This window comes from Homo sapiens, chromosome 4 (genome assembly GCF_000001405.40).
Source record: "Homo sapiens chromosome 4, GRCh38.p14 Primary Assembly".
NCBI classification, from domain to species: domain Eukaryota; kingdom Metazoa; phylum Chordata; class Mammalia; order Primates; family Hominidae; genus Homo; species Homo sapiens.
In genome coordinates this window covers 140,655,624-140,676,174 of record NC_000004.12, presented here as the reverse complement: position 1 = coordinate 140,676,174, position 20,551 = coordinate 140,655,624, and the positions used below count along the sequence as shown (strand labels likewise).

At 40.4% G+C, this 20,551-nt stretch overlaps 1 protein-coding gene across 1 annotated transcript in view; it reads left to right on the top strand.

Moving 5' to 3' along the window:
- Nucleotides 1-20,551, top strand: part of TBC1D9 (TBC1 domain family member 9) — a 135,604-nt gene that overhangs the window by 80,211 nt on the left and 34,842 nt on the right. The window contains exons 7-13 of the mRNA NM_015130.3: nucleotides 5,249-5,455; nucleotides 6,371-6,541; nucleotides 7,108-7,258; nucleotides 14,068-14,282; nucleotides 16,470-16,587; nucleotides 18,363-18,648; nucleotides 18,949-19,078. Of these exons, the coding sequence (NP_055945.2) occupies nucleotides 5,249-5,455; nucleotides 6,371-6,541; nucleotides 7,108-7,258; nucleotides 14,068-14,282; nucleotides 16,470-16,587; nucleotides 18,363-18,648; nucleotides 18,949-19,078 (1,278 nt within the window). The remainder of the gene's footprint in view (nucleotides 1-5,248; nucleotides 5,456-6,370; nucleotides 6,542-7,107; nucleotides 7,259-14,067; nucleotides 14,283-16,469; nucleotides 16,588-18,362; nucleotides 18,649-18,948; nucleotides 19,079-20,551) is intronic.

The window sequence follows — 20,551 nt, the reverse complement described above, 5'->3', positions numbered from 1 at the left end:
TCAAGGGAAGAAATGGGCTACGCCGAGTAAATAGGCTTAGGCTTGGATAATTGGAACAATTTTGGTGGGCTGTGGGGCATAGGGGTTGTCCCTAGTTGTCCATGGGTTAAAAAGGGCAAGGAAATAGTAGTCTTGAGTGTGAGCATTCAATAAAGGAAGTGGTTGAGGTGTGGGCTCCAGATTGGTTGATTTGCTTTGAAAGCAATTTTCTAGAAATTGGCTAGCCCTGGGAAGGGTAATCCCTCCAGGGTCAGCAAGGCCCCCAAGATGCCAAAGCATCAAATACAGAAACTAGGAAACATGTTTATTGTACCTGGCTCAAGGTCTGAGGGCACCCTGGTCTAAAGGAGACAGTCTAGGTTGTGAGTCAGAAAGCCACGTGTTTGTTGGGCTCTGCTCGGCTGATTTCCTGTGTTAGAACCATCATGCTGCTGCTTACAATGGTAGATTCCTGAGTCCATCCCAGATCTTCTGAATCTGTATCTCTGCAAGTTTTAGATCTCTGTTTTAATACATTTACAGGCCAATTCTTATGCACAGTAAAGTCTAAGAAACATTATTATTGTTCTGGGGTGGAGGTGGGTTCCATCCTAACTCCAGGATGATAGCTTACTCTGGTACTTGTCTGGAAGCTTTGCTGTGAGGCTTGGAGTTGACAAAGACCCCAGGTTAGGATGTCAGAGAAAGGGCAGTGCAGGGGCCAGCAGCCCTGCAGTTTCTAACCTGACCTCTTCCAACCTACCCTGGTCCTTTCTGGAAGCTAAGGTGGCCAGAGGCTTTGGGTATTTGATCAGGATTGTCCCCTTGCTAACATCCCTTTAGCAAAGGATTCGGGTTTCTCTCTGCCTTCTTTATCTTTTTCTTTTTTTTTAATTAGGCATAGTTTCTTCTTATTTTCTTGTTTTAAGAGTAATATATCTTTATCCCAGAATTTGTAAAATACAGACAAATAAAGAGAAAAGTCCGCCCTAGTTCCACTGTTCAGAGAGGACCACTGTTAACATTCTATTGTACAGCTTTCTAGTTTTTTCTCTGCATTGCTGTGTATGTGTCATTTATATAATTTAGATGTAAAACACTTTATAGGGAATTTTTATTTTTAGTTATTTCCTTTAACATTGAGTATATCTTAAAGTGTCCTTCAAATCATTAAATATTCTTCTATAGGCCAGATGTGATGGCTCACACCTGTAATCCCAGAAATTTGGGAAGCCGGGGCAGGAGGACTGCTTGAGGCCAGGAGTTCAAAGACCAGCCTAGGCAACATAGCAAGGCCCCATCTCTATTAAAAATTAAAAATTTAAAAAAATTAGCTGGGGATGGTGATGTGCTCCTGTAGTCCTAGCTACTTGGGAGGCTGAAGTGGGAGGATCACTTGAACCCAGGAGTTTGAGATCACAGTGAGCTATGATCGAACCACTGCACTCCAGCTTGGGTGACAGAGCAAGACCTTATCTCTAAAAAATAAAAAATTAAAAAAAAATATATATATATATATTCTTCTACAATGTAATTTTTTTTTAAGAGATAGGGGCCTTGGTCTATTGCACAGACTAGACATGAGCTCCTAGGCTCAAATGAGCCTCCTGCCTTAGTCCCATGAGTAGCTGAGATTACAGGCATACACCATCACATTCATATCACAATTAAATTTTAAATCCTGCAGTTTATTCCGTAAAGTATATACATAATTTATTCATTCGGTTACCTATGGTTGGACCTTTCCGTTGCATCTAGTTTTCTCTCAAATATATGTATAATTTTCTTTAAGTTATAAATAGCAAACAGAAGTCGAACTGTGAATCAAAAAGAATGAAAAATGTTAGGCAACTGACAAATCTAGCTCTCCTTGTCGTAGGGTCAACTAATTGGAGTTATAACACATTTTGAGGCCAAGATATGTTGTGGGTAAATTCTGACAGGAATAATGTAACAGTTTTACATTTGACTGTGAAATGTATTTTGTAAGTTTTTTCACCAAATTTACCTTCTTAGTAGTTTTTGCTATAGGATGTTACTAAACATAATTTTCTTCACCCAATTCTGAATGTAATTTTCTTCATCATGTGCTACTCAAATGTAGTAAAGCAGCATTACCTGTACCAGCTAGGGAAACCAATTCTGTGATTCAGAATACCATAAATGTGCTATTTATGACCTGAATGAATCATCACTCTCAGTTTATCCAGAGGGAAATGAGGAGCAGAGAGGGTCTGGAAGCCGCTATCAAGACATCTGCTGTCCTGCTGGTCCTTCTGGCTTCCCCCTCCCGGGTGTTAGAGCCAACTAGCTCTGTTTACATTTTAGTGCGATTTAGAGTACACTGTTGAGATCTTGGAGGAATTGAGAGAATGGTGATTAATATTCTCAACCTCTATTCTGCTTGCTAGTTTTCTCTAGTAGAGCAGAGATAATAATAAATATGACTATATTTCAGGGTAAATCAGAAGAGAGGCAGTCTGCAGAGGTAGCATTTAGAAATCAAGCTTGTTGTGGTTGGAAGGCGCAGCTTTAAAGAAGCGCTCAGTGAGACGGCAGTGCCTTTTCTTTGAACTGATGACTCTGTGATGTATTAATGGTAGAGCCCCACCCCAACTAATGGAAGAAGCAAAAGACTTAATGTAATTTTTATTACCTTTAGGTAATGATAATGTCAGAAGAGCAATGGGGGCACCCCCACCATCCATGTGGGGTCTGAGTGGAGGGTGCCCTCCACGTGAGCTGGGTACCTTTCAGAACCGAGTCAGGCTGCTTGACATCCCTGGGAACATTACATCCTACACGGAATGCCCACTTTTAAGATTGTATAGACCAAGAATTGTTGTTTCACTTAATTTTTTTAAATAAATAAGCTGAAATATTGACTGGAGGTTTTTAACACACATTCTACATATTGACTTAAGGTAGACCCAGTCAACAGATGTTAAGCATTTATCCAGGATCATGTTGCTATAGATTTTGAAGAAATTATTAAGCCAGCAAGAGAAGGAATTTTTTTTTTTTTTTTGATATGGGGTCTCTCACACAGTCATCCAAGCTGGAGTGCAGTGGCACAGTCTTGGTTCACTGCAGCCTCCTCTTCCACCTCCTGGGATCAAGTGATTGTCCTGCCTCAGCCACCTGAGTAGCTAGAATTACAGGCATGCGCCACCACCCACAGCTAATTTTTGTATTTTTAGTAGAGATGGGGTTTCATCATGTTGGCCAGGCTGGTCTTGAACTCCTGAGCTCAAGTGATCTGACCACTTAGGCCTCCCAAAGTGCTGGGATTACAGGCGTGAGCCACGTGCCTAGCCTTTTTTTTCATTCATAAATTACTTTCCAGTGTTTCATATTAAACACCAAGACTTGATTAAGTTGCAGTCTCTTTTATAACTCAAATTGGTCATGAAAATATGTCTCATTATATTGTAGCAGACTCTAATGTAATTGTTCTCCTTTCCTGGTGGCGGGGAGCTTATGTGATAGAGTTCTGCTAGAACTCATTTATCAGTGAGAAACATTTTATAAGCCGTCTGAGCATTTATATGTTTTATGTGGGAGCTTTCTTGTTTCTGCATACATGCTCCAGCTAGACGAAGGAATTTTTCACTTTGACTTTATCAAGATCCACATAGCTAACTGCGTTTTAGACACATAATGTAACCTTTCATCTCCTTGGCATTTTCCATTTATCCCAGACACCTCATGACCAAAAGAGCCAGTAAAAATTTTATGTGAGAAAAGGGGCTTTTGTGGATTTTAAAAAATAAGTATTCTTTAATACATGCCTTAAGTGTTATGGGAAAATTCTTTTCAGGAAAAGGAGGTATTTCCCTCTGTTATATAGCATTTATTGCATTAGAAAGAAAATCCTTATGTACAACTTCAGGTGTCTCAGAAGATTCCTTTAATATATATAAATATATATTTTTAATATTCTATAATGTATGTTTAATATATAATGTATATTATATGTCATATATTAACACATATATTTAATATAGATATTAAAAGAATCATATATACTCTAACACATATATTCTGAAAACAGCAGTCAGATGCTACACTTTTTCCCTTGATGGACCCCAGGCAGACCTATTTTTTTAGATATGCAAGAGTTTTTAGACAACTTCAATAGGTTACTTAGTCTTGAGTAGGGAAAACATTTCTAAGTTGTGCTTTGAAGGAAATATATTTCACATGAAAATGCTAATGAACAACTTAAAGTTTAACCTGTCTAGACTGCTTGCAGTAGAAATGAAGAAGGGAAAAAAGATCTTAGCTTTAAGTATATTGTCAGAGCTGCTGCAAATAAACCATTTTTCTAGTGCTTGCCTTGAGATTTGTTTTCTAATGTGCTAAAGAGAAAAGTTTTAATGCGTTTATCCTAGTTTCTAGTTGATGAAAATCCTATTATAAATCACCCGTATATGTCTTCAGTTTAGAGCTAAATTTCCCCAATGTGGTAGGCTTCGGCACACACACACACACACACACACACACACACACACACACACAGTCTGGTAGTTCAGATAATGTTGCAATTAAGCTGTTTACATTCTTTACATGTCTGTTCAGAATAGAACCTTTAAAACTTTGCAGTGGTAGAAGGTGAAGGATGAAAAGCCCTGGAGTCTAAATGAAACATTTGAAGGATTGGTGGTGTTTTGAAAACCATTCCAACATTAAGCTTGGTAAAAGGAACCAGTATCATGGGTTGTTTTCTGTCTCTTATGGCTGATGAAGCAGCGAGGAGCCCTCTCTCTTATAGCTCCATGAAATTTTAATGAAAATCAAATAATTCCTTTATAGCAAGGTTTCTCAACCTTGGAGCTATTGACATTTTGGGACAGGCTTTCGTTGTGGTGGAGTGGGATGGCAGGGGCTGTCCTGTGTGTCGTAGGATGTTTAGCAGCATCCCGGGACTCTGCTACCAGATGCCAGTAGTATCCCTCTACCTGTGACAACCCAAAATGCCTCCAGATGTTGCCAGATGTCTCCTGAGAGGAAAAAAGTCCCATTTTGAACCACTGATTTGGAAAAACCAGCAAGACGGTTCCAGTTTCTAGTATAAGCTCCAGTTTGATTGTTTTGAGCTGTTTTATTTTACTGGAACAGAGTCAAAGAGTCTCAGTTTTGCTTCAATAAAATATAGGTGGTTCCTATAGAATAATGAAAGTGCCGCCTTCCTCCTTTAGTGCTGCATATAGGCTGCTATTGGGTAATTCTTGGAAAATAATGCTCTTTGTTTCCCACTTCTTTTCAGGTGACAATTGTGGAAAAGGCAGACAGCTCCAGTGTGCTCCCCAGTCCCTTATCCATCAGCACCCGAAACAGGATGACCTTCCTATTTGCCAACTTGAAAGATAGAGACTTTCTAGTGCAGAGGATCTCAGATTTCCTGCAACAGACTACTTCCAAAATATATTCTGACAAGGAGTTTGCAGGAAGTTACAACAGTTCAGATGATGAGGTCTGTGGGAGACACCTGAAAGTATTTTTGGTTTATCCTGTTCCTGTGCCCAAGTGTGTTCAGTTCCTTGCCCATTTTGTTTGATCTTCAAGCTTTGCGTCTGACGCCCAAAGCAATATCTCAGCAATATCTCATTTAAATCTCAAGGACTTTGTATTTGGGGTCATAGATTTAGAAGGAACCTTATAGATCACCTGGAATAACACTTTTATTTTATAGTTGAAGAAATTCTTAAGTAATCTGTTCTAGTTACATAGCAAGTGACTCAGGTCCATATAGTGACATTGTTGAGAATGGTACAGAGGTCACTAAATAAAGTCTCAAACCTGAAATACAAATCATTATGATGATTTTTATTATGATAGAATACATATTGGGTCCCTGTGGAATTCTTCCCTGGACCAACATTCAGGAACACTGGAGGCCTGAAAAGATAGGTGACTATCTGAATGGTTAGAGGAAGTTATGGCAGATAAAACATGTTTCGAAGGTGGTAAGCTCACACATAACATCTCTGTCTCTGTTCACCTGCTCCAAGCTTATGTGGACATTTTTGAGGCGCCAGAAACTCAATGGGGTGATGAGGCTGCCATAGCTGCTGATTCAACCATGACATGCTTTGCATACATGCAAATCAGAGAAACAAATGGCCAAGCACTTTGTTGCAAATATACATATAAAACATGAAGATTCAGAAACCTATTGTGAGCATTGAAGTGCTGCGGCCTGGGACCCAGCCACCTGTCTAATCCCTGCCAAAATGATGGCTTGCTGCTTTTCTCGTGTTTCTTCACATAGCAAGAAACACCATGGGAAAAAAATGATGTAGCTTTTGATAACCATACAGAAGACACTGAAGAAGTAGGTTCTATTGCCCGTGTCCTCCCAATGTCTTGTTCCTCTCTGTATTGACAGGTGTACTCTCGACCCAGCAGCCTCGTCTCCTCCAGCCCCCAGAGAAGCACGAGCTCTGATGCTGATGGAGAGCGCCAGTTTAACCTAAATGGCAACAGCGTCCCCACAGCCACACAGACCCTGATGACCATGTATCGGCGGCGGTCTCCCGAGGAGTTCAACCCGAAATTGGTGGGTGCCTCTCACTTTTCCCTGAAACTTTGTAGATTTGAACAATGCCATTAACAATATTTTTTACTGTAAGTAAATTCACACATGCCTATGTAAATGGAGATTTTCCTATAAGTTAAGCAGATTTTTGTCTAAATATGTTATAACTTTCACAGTGGCTTCATGGAAGGAGATGAGTTATAGAGGGTACAGGTGACTTCTTTTGGTCTTGTTTTGTTTTTAACTCTTGCTTAAGTTAAACCAACAAATAAATACCCGATTTCTCAGCCCATATTTAAACATCATTAACTTACTTTCACTTGGGGGTGCAGACATAAAACCATAAATACAATCTCAGGTAAGTAGGATTCTGACTCTGGGCCCAAAAGCTTCATGGCAGAGCTGTAGGCCATGATAGATGTATAAAACTAGAGAAGAACTCCAGAAAATCTGAGTTCCTTTTTCTCATGACTTCTTTCTGGAATTGTCACTCCGTTCAGCAGGGAACATGTTCTGACCTTCCATCACTCTTCTCTTACCATCCTCAGGGTACTTTGGATGTCATAATGTTTCATTATCCCTTTCAGGCCAAAGAGTTTCTGAAAGAGCAAGCCTGGAAGATTCACTTTGCTGAGTATGGGCAAGGGATCTGCATGTACCGCACAGAGAAAACGCGGGAGCTGGTGTTGAAGGGCATCCCGGAGAGCATGCGTGGGGAGCTCTGGCTGCTGCTGTCAGGTACGGCCGCTGGGCTGGGAATGCTGGCGTCAAAGTCTGTGGGACTCCACACCAGGGCCTCCCTGTGCCTTCAGTCATGCCTCAGGGGTTCTTTCAAATATGCATCCCCCAGTTGAAAGCTACATCATGTTTCCTCACCAGAGTATTGAAGTTCCTCAATTATTGTTCCCTTTGTAAAACTATAGGACCCATAGGAAGCGGACCAAATGTTGAATCCACCATCCTTCGAGTCTTTATAAATACTTCCATTTCTTCAGTCAGGCTATTTAGGAATAAAAGAGAACCTGAAGTAAAAGAACAGAATACTTTGTGACTTCAGTAGTTCTTTTTTCCTTGCCCAGCTACGTCAACTTCATTGAGAATGTTTAAGTGTGACACTTCCTCAGAGCAGTCATCGGGTGGGGAATTGGGAGGAAAGAAATAAGAGGAATAAAAAGGCCCAGGTGTTTGATTTTTGCCACCTCCTGAAGTCTTTGGTCATCATTGGAACCATAAAGATGAGGCCAGAGTCTGCACTGGAAATAAAAGCTTACTCAGATCATACCTTGTACTTCAAGCCAGAGATGCCAGGAAGGACAGAAGGGGACACTTCCATGGACCAGTGGTGAAGAGGCATCCATCTTTACTGGTCCACAGACCTGGCTCTTGTGCCTGTCCATCATTCTGTCACATCAGATCTTTGAGCCCTGCTACAGAAACCAGAGATCCTTCAGGCTAAGCTCACACTGCTTCCTCCCATCCGAAAGCACTGAGTGTATCCCAGGGATCTCTAATATCTCAGACATCAGAGCACTCCTTAGTTTCACCAACTTTACTTTCACATGTAAATTAGTTGCTCTATCTGGATTGAAGCCTGAAATATTATCATTCTAAATAGGCTTATGTGAATATTTTTATTTGAACCTAAGATGGTCTGACACAAATGCTATTATTAAAAGCTTTTATTCTTAAAAAGTGATACTAAAATTAATAATTACGACTCACAGGAAAGCCTTTAAAAAAACCTATAGCTCTTTGTAAAAGTAGATGTAATGCCCATAATGAGATGTATAAATGTCTCAGAAATAGGGACGTATAATCCTGAAAAATAATTGGTTTTGTCTATTTCATGTAAAACTAGTTTGTTCTATATTTATTTAATACATGTCTTATTTTTCATTTTTCTTTCCTTCTTTCTTTTTGTAGAGATAGGTGTCTTGCTGTGTTGCCCAGGGTGGTCTCAAACTTGTAGGCTCAATCAATCCTCCTACCTCAGCCTCCCAGGTGCTGGGATGATAGTCATGAGCCACTGTGCCTGGCCTCATTTTCCCTAAGTGGACCAGCCATAGCTCCTCATTTAGAAACCTAAATTTGAGTCAACTCATCTCTAATTATAATTCAAACCCAAGAAGATCATTACCATCCAGTCTTTTCTTGTCTTCCCTGTGTTTAGTGAACTAGTCACCTTGACAACCAGATTCAGATCACTGACAGAGTAAACAGATTTCCATTTTCATCCTCCTTGTTCAAATTAGAAGTTATTTATAGCTGCATTTTAAGTGAAAATGAAACTCAAAACGAGTACCAGGAAACTAGTGTATACAACAATAGTACACAGCCCTATCTCAGAGATAATGTTGAGAGTTAGACCCAGTGTTTCCTTTAACGGCAGATGGACCATGTGAGACCGCAGGGTGGTCTCCACACGGCCCTCTGTTGGGGTGATAACTGAGCCCGTATTTCCACATCCAGGAATGGGGTTCGCCTGAAGGCCAGCCTATCATGAAGAGAGCACAGCTCCAGGCCAGAGCCCAACTTGGGTCTCACCTGCTTCCTGTGACCCTTAGGGTGACGGCATCATGACCTGAACTCTGTACCCGCTGAAATGAAATGCAGGTCAGATGACAAGAAATCACAGTACGTCTCCCACATCAACAGAGCAAAAGCCAGCGTTATGTCCCTGTCAGCTGGGTTGGCTTTTCCAGGGCCAGCGTGAGTGGTGAGGCCAGCTCTCTCAGTGACCATCAGAGACAAGGCCTTGGCCAGTCCAGGGGTCTTGGGGCTCCACTTTTCTGAATTATGAAATGTTGAGTGTTTACCCTGTCAATATATATATCATTTATATATTTTTTGTGATATCTTTATTGAGATATAATTCACAACTTACTAGTTAAGGTGTACAATTCAGTGGTTTTTTTTTTTTAGTATATTCACAGAATTGTGCAATGATCACAATTATAGAACATTTTTCATCCCCCCAAAACACCCCATACCTTTTATCCATTTGGAAAATAGATATAGGCTGGGCGCGGTGGCTCACGCCTGTAATCCCAGCACTTTGGGAGGCCGAGGTGGGCGGATCACGAGGTCAGGAGATCGAGACCATCCTGGCTAACAAGGTGAAACCCTGTCTCTACTAAAAAAAATACAAAAAATTAGATGGGCGCGGTGGCGGGCGCCTGTAGTCCCAGCTACTCGGGAGGCTGAGGCAGGAGAATGGCGTGAACCCGGGAGGCGGAGCTTGCAGTGAGCCGAGATAGCGCCACTGCACTCCGGCCTGGGCGAAAGAGCAAGATTCTGTCTCAAAAAAAAGGAAAATAAATATAAACTGTTTGGAAATACAGACTGGTAGTTCCATTCCCCTCAAGCCCCCTCCCAGCCCCAGGCAACCACCAGACTACTTTCTGTTGCTAGACATTTTGTATAAATGGAAGCATACAATATGTAGGTTTTTGTGACTGGCTTCTTTCACATAGCATACTGTGTTCAAGGTTCCACCATATCATAGCATGTATCAGCATTTCATTCCTTTTTATGGCCAAATATTATATCATTGTATGGACATACTATACTCTGTTCATTCGTTTTTCAGTTGATAAACATTTAGGTTGTTTCTACTTTTTGGTTCCTATGAATAATGCTGCTATGAATGTTCATCTACATGTTTTTGTGTGGGCTGGGCACAGTGGCTCATGCTTGTAATCCCAGCACTTTGGGAGGCCAAGGAGGGAGGATCACTTGAGCCCAGGAGTTTGACACCAACCCAGGCAACATAGTGAGACCCCATCTCTACAAAAAAAAATTTTTTTTTTAACTAGCTGGGTGTGGTGGCACGCACATGTAGTCCCAGCTACTCAAGAATCTGAGATGGGAGGATTGCTTGAGTCTGGGAGGTTGAGGCTGCAATGAGCTGTGATCAGACCTCTGCACCTCAGCTTGGGTGACTCAGCAAGACCCTCTCTCAGAAAATAAAATATAGATTTAAAATTTAGAAAATTCAAAAGTTTAAAATTTTTTTAAATACAGGTTTTTTTATGGACACCTGCTTCTATTTCTCTTGAATGTATGAATGAAGTGGAATTTCTGGTTCGTATGGTAACTCTATGTTTAACCTTTTAAAGGTTAAACATTATTTTGATTTGCATTCTCCTGAAGGATAATGATGTTGAACATTTTTTCATGCACTTACTGACCACTTCTATATCTTCTTTGTAGAAATATGTACTCAGATCCTTTGCCTGCTCTTAATTGGGTTATCTTTTAGTTATTGAGTTGTAAAAGTTTTTAAACATATTTGAGATACAAGTTCATTATCAGATTTTTCCTAAAAATGCTCCCATTCTGTGCATTGTCTTTTCACTGTCTTTGATGGTATCCTTCGAAGCACAAAAAAATTTAATTTTAATGAAATACAATTTGTCTATTTTTTCCTTTGTCACTCTGCTCTCATGACATGAAGATTTACACTACTATGCTTTCTTCTAAGAGTTTGTAGTTTTAGCTCTTATAGTTAGGTCATTTTGAGTTAATTTTTTTTTTTTTTTTTTTCTGGAGACTGAGTCTCACCCTGTCACCCAGGCTGGAGTGCAATGGCATAATCTTGGCTCACTGAAACCTCCACCTCCTGGGTTCAAGCGATTCTTCTGCCTCAGCCTCCTGAGTAGCTGGGATTACAGGTGTGCACCACCACGCCTGGCTAATTTTTGTATTTTCAGTAGACACGGGGTTTCACCATGTTCATCAGGCTGGTCTCAAACTCCTGACCTCGTGATACACCCACCTTGGCCTGTCAAAGTGTTGAGATTACAGGCGTGAGCCACTGCACCCGGCCTTGAGTTAATTTTTTATGTGGTGTGAGATGCAGGTGACTGTCTAATTCATTCTTTTCCGTATGGATATCTAGTTGTCCCAGCACCATTTGTTGAAAATACTATTCTTTCCCCCAGTGAATTGTCTTAGCACCCTTGTTAAAAATTAATAGACCTTAAATGTTAGGATTTATTTCTGGACTCTTAAATCTAGTCCATTGATCTGTATGTCTATCTTTATGCCAGTACTACACTGTCTTGCTTACTGTAGCTTTGCAGTAAGTTTTAAAATTGGGAAGTGTGAGTCCTCCAATTTTCTTGTCCTTTTTTGAGTCTCTTGAAGTTGCATATGAATTTTAGGACCAGCTAGCCAATTTTTGCAAAAAGGACAGATGGGATTTTGATAGGTATTGTGTTGAATCTGTAGATCAGTTTGGGAGTTTTTCTATCTTAACAACATTAAGTCTTCCAACCCATAAACACAGGATGTCTTTTATTTAAGTCTTTGTCAATTTCTTTTAGCAATATTTTGTAGCTTGCAGTGTGCAACTCTTACATGTGTTTTGTTATATTTATTCCGAAATATTTTATTCTTTTTTGTATCCTGCAGCCTTCATGAACTCATTCATGCGTTGTTGAGGTATAATTGACAAATAAAAAGTATATATATTTAAGGTGTATTAATTTGATGATTTCATATACATTGTGAAATGATTACTATAATTGAGCTAGTTTACCATATCTATTACCTCACATTGTTCCCATGATTTTTTCTTTTTGTCTTTTTTTCTTGTTTTTTTTTTTTTTTTGGTGGGGAGAGTTTGGTGAGAGAACACTTAAGATCTACCCTCTTAGCAAATTTCAAGTATACAATACAGTATTACATTAGATCTTCAGAACATTTTCATTTCTTATAACTGAAGCTCTATACCCTTTGACCAACATCTCTCCATTTTTCCCCTTCCTTAGCTCCTGGTAATCACCATTCTAGACTCTGTTTCTATGAGTTTGACTATATTAGATTCCACATACAACTGAGAACATGTATTACTTGTCTTTCTGTGCCTGGCTTATTTCACTTAGCATAATGTCTTCTGGGTTCAACCATGTTATCAAAAATGATAGGACTTCCCCTCTTATAGGCTGAATATAGTATCCCATTTTGTATATATGCCCCATTTTCTTTATCCATTCATCTCTTAATGGGTATTTAGATTGTTTCTATATCTTGGCTATTGTGAAAATGCTGCAATAAACATAGGATGCAGATATTTCTTCAGGATACTGATTTCACTTCTTTTGGATATATGCTTAGAGTGGGATTACTGGATCATAAGGTGGCTCTATTTTTAGTTTAAGGAATCTCTATACTGTTTTCTGTAATGGCTGTAGCAATTTACATTCCCACCAACAGTGTACAAGGGTTCCCTTTTCTCCACATCCTTGCTGACACTTGTTATCTTTTGTCTTTTTTATCATAGCCATTCTGACAGGTATGAGGTGGTATTTCATTGTAGTTTTGATTTGCATTTCCCTGATGATTAGTGATGTTGAGCACCTTTAAATACACCTGTTGGTGATTTGTATACCTTCTTTTGAGAACTGTCTATTCATTTCCTTTGCCCATTTTAAAATCAGGTTGTTTGGTTTAGGCTATTGAGTTCTGTGAGTTCATTATATATTTTGTATATTGACCCCTTATCAGACATATGGTTTGCAGATATTTTCTTCCATTAAGTTGCTTTTTGATTGCTTCCTTTGCTGTGCAGAGCTTTTTAGTTTGATGCTATCCCACTTGTCTGATTTTTGCTTTTGCTGCCCGTGCTATTGGTGTCACATCCAGAAAATAATTGCCATATCAGTGTCAAGAAGCATTTTCTTTCTATATTTTCTTCTACTAGTTTTATGGTTTCAGGAATTGAAATTTAATTTAATCCATTTTGCATTAATTTTGGTACATGGTATAAAAAAAGAGTTCATTTTCATTCTTCTGCATGTGAATATTCAGTCTTCCCAACAGGAATGTAATTAAAATTTAGATTGAGAGGTAGATACTTGCATATAGGGTTTTTCTGTCTTGAAGAATCCTAAACTGTAAGTATCTCAAATGGATGATTCTCAGTATAACCCTCCATCCCCATCCCCAACACCTGAGGAACTTCTGTCAACAATGATGACTCACCACTGTTAGGAATACTCTTACCACTCTGCAATTTGAAAAACTCCAAGTATCTCCCTCAATATGGCTATTAAACCCTTCAGAGCTAACACGTTAGCAGGCAGTTTTCAGACTTATTTTGAGAGACAGAACCTCCTATTTCAAGTGAAATCTTAATGAAACCACAATAAAATAAAAGCAAAGCTGCTGGGGTTGAAGAGAGTGATGAGAAGGTGAAGCCTCAGCCTGGCTTGTTATGATGACCTCCCCACCTGTGCTCCTAAGCAGCCCTTCAGGACTGTCTGTGGGAGTTCCTCAGAGCATGGTTTTGTAGCTTGGGAACCTCTACCTTAGGAAAGTTTTTAAGTAGCCAGCCTACTATGGAGCTGAAAGAGGGAAGGAGGCCACAGGCAAATTCACCAGTCTAGCCACGATTGCAACATACCACATCTGTGATTTCACCTTCTCTTGCAAGTTTCCTTTGAGAGGTAGGAAAGTAAAGCAGTTCAATCATAAGCTGTAGTTGCAAACCAAAAGGCAGAGCTCTCACGTTTTTGATACTGTATCTGTTGGATATATCTCAGGTGCCATCAATGAGAAGGCCACACATCCTGGGTACTATGAAGACCTAGTGGAGAAGTCCATGGGGAAGTATAATCTCGCCACGGAGGAGATTGAGAGGGATTTACACCGCTCCCTTCCAGAACACCCAGCTTTTCAGAATGAAATGGGCATTGCTGCACTAAGGAGAGTCTTAACAGCTTATGCTTTTCGAAATCCCAACATAGGGTATTGCCAGGTAAATGTCACAGGTGGTTTTTGCTAAAAAAATAAAATAAAATTTCTATTCATTTGGCAGCAAATAGTGGGAAGGAAGGTTTATGGTTAACAGAACTATCACTTTACCAGGGCCTCTCAACCTTGGCACTGTTGACACTCTGGACTGTTAACTCTTTGTTGTATGGGCTGTTCTATGCTTTGTAGAATGTTTAGTAACATCCCTGGCCCCTACCACTAGATGCTGGTAGAAAATCCCCAGTTGTAACAACCAAAAATGTCTCTAGATATTGCCAGATGTCTGAGAGGCAGAATCATCCTGGGTTGAGAACCACTGCACTGAATGGAGGAGACCTTCCTGGATTCACCACTGTCTAGCTAGGTGACCTGGAGAAGATCCTTCTGATCACTGTCTGCCTCAACCTTCATCCCACCCTGGAGTAAGAGAGGGCATCCTCAGCACCAGGCCTGTCACTGTGGTTCGCCACAGTGTTGCTACTTTGCATCCTCTTAAGTAATAATGTCCTTGAATAGAGCTTTTATATGCTAGGGTTATGTCTTAATACACATTAAAATAAGTGCTTAACTTAGTATTAAGAAAAGTTGCCTACATACCAACAAAAGTCATCTCTTGTACTGGTATAGATGCCAAAATTTGGGAAGCTCCAAAATAACGTGACCTTAGAATCAAAGGCTATATCGGCCAGGTGCGGTGGCTCACGCCCGTAATCCCAACACTTTGGTAAGCCAAGGCCGGAGGATCACGAGGTCAGGAGATCGAGACCATCCTGGCTAACACGGTGAAACACCGTCTCTACTAAAAATACAAAAAATTAGCCAGGCGTGGTGGCAGGTGCCTGTAGTCCCAGCTACTCGGGAGGCTGAGGCAGGAGAATGGCCTGAACCCGGGAGGTGGAGCTTGCAATGAGCTGAGATCATACCACTGCACTCCAGCCTGGGCGACAGAGCAAGACTCCGTCTCAAATTAAAAAAAAAAGAAAGAATCAAAGGCTATATCATTGTAGAGGCCTTCCCTGACCATCCAGCAAAAGCTAAAAGAGGCTGAACTCCTACTTCAACACACAAGTGCACGTACATGCACACGTTAGTCTCCCTCTACTGCATTATTTTACCTCTTTATAACTTCCAATTTAAATAACCCCCCACATAGACTAGTTAACCTTTTCATCTTTGTTTTATCTAACACTAGCATTTAGGACCTGCAAGATATCACCACTCTGTCCCCCATCCTCCAATACCTAGTCCAGAGCCTGTTACAAGGTAGACCCCTAAAAAAACCTATCTCCGCTAAATGACTAAGGAACTGGCAGGGACCATCATCATGTACTAGGATCAGCAGGTTAATTCTCAAGTGGAATTTCCATGATGATGTCACTTGGGAACATAATGAGTAAGACTTACAAGAAAGAGCCTATTAAACCAAAATACCTTTTTTGAAATTGAATTGTAGAAGCCTGATGAACAGTTACCGGTTTCTGGGAGATCAAAAGAAGTACAGGAGGTAGTTGGCCTCTAATATGATAAAGTTCATATTTACCTTTTGATCTTCCTCTTTTTAATTAAGAAGACTATTAAAGTAGTTGAGTCTAGAGTGGTTATGAGGTATCTGATAATATCTTTTAATAAACTACAGTTACTTTAGAATTTAAATCACTCTCAGTTATCACTACCATCTCTCTCCGTATGGAAATGTTGGGTGAGGACTCCAAGTCTGAAAGGTTTCGTTGTTCTCTCAGGAGAGCCTGGAGCCATGTGTACCTGATTATAGAAACCATTACGGAAAGTTACAAAGGAAATGTTTACCTCACTGAATTAAGGATTAAGAACACTGAGAGATTTTAGCAGGTTAAAAGCTTTGTGAAATAGCCTTTGGGCAAATTTTTGGAATAGGGGTTTGCCAGCATGAGTTCGGGGCTCTGTCTGGTGAATATTGGTGTTAAGGAAGACCCTGCACACTTACTGGTTCAAGGACTCAGGTTTTTATGTTTTTACAGGGTCATAAAACAAAACTCAGAAGAATATATGACAGAGACTATGTGTAAAGCCTCCAAAGCCTAAACATATTTATCTCGCTTTTCACAGAAAAGGTTTGCCAGCCCTTGTGAGAATAACTGAGTAATTTTAATATGCTAACAGAATTGCTTATATTTTCAACTGTATTTGATGACATCCTCTTTCACTTTTTTAGGCCATGAATATTGTCACTTCAGTGCTGCTGCTTTATGCCAAAGAGGAGGAAGCTTTCTGGCTGCTTGTGGCTTTGTGTGAGCGCATGCTCCCAGATTACTACAACACCAGAGTTGTGGGTAAGTGGAGATGCATTTAACATTTCAACCTATGTCTCGTCAAGAAGATGCTTTTAGAGAGGTGCCAGCCAGAACACTATTTCTGGTCACCATAAGCCAAAAGAGTTTCAGACTACTCCAGTTTTTCAAAATGGAAATGAGAGAGGTTGAATAAATATAGGTTGTATACAAAGGAGCCCCGTGGAGTTTAAGGGACTATACACATACGCCTGCTCCAGAAATTATTTTAGAAAATATTTCATGTGTGTGTGTCACTCTGACATGTGAGAGCTACACCAGGTATGTGCACCATTAACACAAAGAGATTTGATAAAAAAAATTAATAAAGAGGATGGGAACCTACGAAATACAGAGGTGTTGCCAAAAAAAGGCTATCTGGGGTGGAAAAAATAGAATATAGAGGTTTATTGAAAGCTAGGTTTCTAAGGTATTTTTCAGGACTGGTTTTATTGCAAAGCAAACACCTGTTTTGAGGATTTAAATTATTGCTGTTACTCCTTGTAATTCTCTCAAATATCAGTGATTCATTTTAGCAGGACAAGCTTTTCATTGCTTGGGTTGTACAGTATATTGTTTATGCTTCTCACTTGTGTTCTTTCTATATTTCTAAACATTTGCACATGAATTTGATTATTGAAAATATTGTCAAAAATGTCCTTACGTTGATCATGAATGTGTACAACAGGAATGCTTTTAAGTTTTTTTAAAAAGTAATTGTTTTAAAAAATGATTAATCTGTGGGCACCATGCATCCAGAAGTGTGATTTTTTTTTTTTTTTAAGACCATCTCGCTCTGTCGCCCAGGTTGGAGTACAGTGGCGTGAATTTGGCTCACTACAACCTCCGCCTCCCAGGTTCAAGTGATTCTCCTGCCTCAGTCTTTGAGTAGCTGGGACTATACAGACTCCCACCACCATGCCTGGCTAATTTTTGTATTTTCAGTAGAGATAGGGTTTCACCATGTTAGCCAGGCTGGTCTCAAACTCCTGACCTCAGGTGATCCGCCTGCCTCAGCCTCCCAAAGTGCTGGGATTATTATTATTTTTTTTAATTAATAAGAGTTTGCCAGCTAAGCTGCTTAAATGTACATTTGGAACTGTAGTCATGTGTTGATGTTCTGGCTGAGGAAGGACTGCATATACAACAGATGTCCCATTAGATTATAATACTGTATATTTACTGTATCATTTCTATGTTTTGATACACAACTGTTTACCATTATGTTATAGTTGCCTACAGTATTTAGTACAGTAACATGCTATACAGGTTTGGAGCCTAGGAGCAATAGGCTATACCATATAGCCTAGGTGTGTAGTAAGGCTCTACTGTCTAGGTTTGTGTGAGTACTCTCAAAGATGTTCACATGACAGATTTACATGACAACCCATTTCTCATGTCTCCATTGTTAAGTGAGGCATGACTGTACTTGGATGTACATCTCATACCAAACCAAACATTATGTTGCCAACAAAATAACTAATTGTATGTCACGAAAACCTTATAAACTGGCTTTCTCAACAACCCTTATAATTGTCATGTGATTGTTCTTTTTTGGAAGGGAAAACAGGACAGGAAGAGCCCAGAAAGAGAAGATGCAGCCAGAACTAATCTGGTGACTGAGCTGTGTTGACACCTTGGTCTAGTAACAGTCACAGCAGAACAGTCAGCAGAAAGGAACAGAGTCCTGTGCTAGCAGTCAAGTTGTTTGAATGGATTCTTTAGTTACACTGTGTAGTTGGCTAAGCTGCGCCTTTTTGTATACATCGCTGCCACAGGTGCACTGGTGGACCAAGGTGTCTTTGAGGAGCTAGCACGAGACTACGTCCCACAGCTGTACGACTGCATGCAAGACCTGGGCGTGATTTCCACCATCTCCCTGTCTTGGTTCCTCACACTATTTCTCAGTGTGATGCCTTTTGAGAGTGCAGTTGTGGTTGTTGACTGTTTCTTCTATGAAGGAATTAAAGTGATATTCCAGTTGGCCCTAGCTGTGCTGGATGCAAATGTGGACAAACTGTTGAACTGCAAGGATGATGGGGAGGCCATGACCGTTTTGGGAAGGTATTGTACTAAGCCTAACTTTGAAAACCATCTCCGGTTTTCTTCCTCATGCTTTCTCTTCATTTCATGAGTCTTAACTGATTTGATGGTGATCATAATGCCCGCTTCTTCCTGTGGCTGAGGATTTATTTTCATATGCTTTTTCTTTAGAAATTAACAGAATTTCTTTCTCTCTTTCCATCTTTAAAGAAACTCTAGTCCTTTGTTTTAAAATGTAGAACTTGCAGAAAATGATTGGAGAATTATAATGGGAGGATTCCAGTTTCTTCTCCTGTGACTTCTGATGCATTCTTCTTCCAGGTATTTAGACAGTGTGACCAATAAAGACAGCACACTGCCTCCCATTCCTCACCTCCACTCCTTGCTCAGCGATGATGTGGAACCTTACCCTGAGGTAGACATCTTTAGACTCATCAGAACTTCCTACGAGGTAGGTCTTGTCTCCTGGCTGAGCAGGGCTTAACCATGCATTCGACACTTCCACTGCTGCCTGTTTTGTGCTGCTATAACAGAATACCACAGACTGGGCAAAGAACAGATATTTATTTCTCAGTTCTAGACTTTGGGACGCCCCAAATCAAGGCATTGGCAGGTTAGGTCCTGGCCTTTCTGCTTCCAAGATGGCACCTTGCATGCAGTGTCCTCCGGAGGGGAGAAATACCATGTCTTCACTGGCAGAAGAGAGAGAACCCATGCTCATAAGACCTTTTTATAGTGCCATTAATCCATTTGTGAAGGCAGAGTCTTCATGACCTAAATGTTGCAGGTGATTGGCAACTATCTGAGGCTGGTATCAGGAGGGTAGTAGGAAGAATTTACCAAGACAGTTGTAAGTAAAGAAAAGCAGATTTATTAAGGAAAGCATGAAAGTACATTGCAAGGATGCAATGGGCAAGTTAGCAAGAGAGGAGTTAACTGCAAAGAGACAAAGCCTTGCTGGGGATTTTATAGGATGGTTCTTGTGCTGTGTGCTGGAGAGGGCTTTGTGCAGTACTGGTAACGCTGAGGTTGTAGTGAGCTAACTTGCATTTTTCTGTCAGCCCAGGGTCTGGTGATAGCTGGGCGCAGGAAGATTATGAGTTATTTGCACAGGAGACCTATGTGTTCTGGATCATGAAAAAGGGCAGACTTATAGCTTATCTGTTTTGATTATTTATTTATATATTTATTTATTTTGCTTTCCCTGGGTCTTGCCAGCCCGACTCCTTTTCCCTAATTAGGACTCCACACTAAATACCTCCTATTAGACCCCACTTTCCAACACTGTTGTGATGGGGATTAATTTTCAACATGAGTTTTAGAGGGAATAAAAACATTGAGACTATAGGCTTACCTGCTTCCTTCTACATTGAGAACTACTTCTACATTCCTTCTACAGTGAGAACTACTGGCCAGAAGTAAGTAGTTCTGTGCTAGCTGACAGCTTTGGCCTCCAGAGATGGACATTGAATGGAGCCTGGATGTCTTAATGGGTCTAATACCATAGTAGCACATGGCAAGACAAGCTGTGGCTCTCCAGTGCTTTACCATTCACATCCTGAAGCCTGATCTAGTAGCAGCTCAGATTGAACTCTTTGTAGATTAAGTAGGGGCTGTTGAGAGTAGGGATGGGGAGGCTGACCTTCACAAATCAATTTGCTTTCTGTTCCCATGCTAAGTACTTAGGGCTTCTTTGAAGTAGATAGTCTGAGACACTTAGTATAGCCTGTATAGCCCAGAGTAGACCAGAGTCCTAGGATTCCTCTAAAATTGCTTGGCTTGGATGGGGGAGGATGCTTTCTTGTCCATGATGACCCTGGAATCAGCCTGATCTGCCGCTCTATCTCACAACAGAACTAATACGCTTTTTGGGGTGAAGGAACCACAGTGCCACTTTCCCCCTTAACACCTGGTGGTTTGTGGG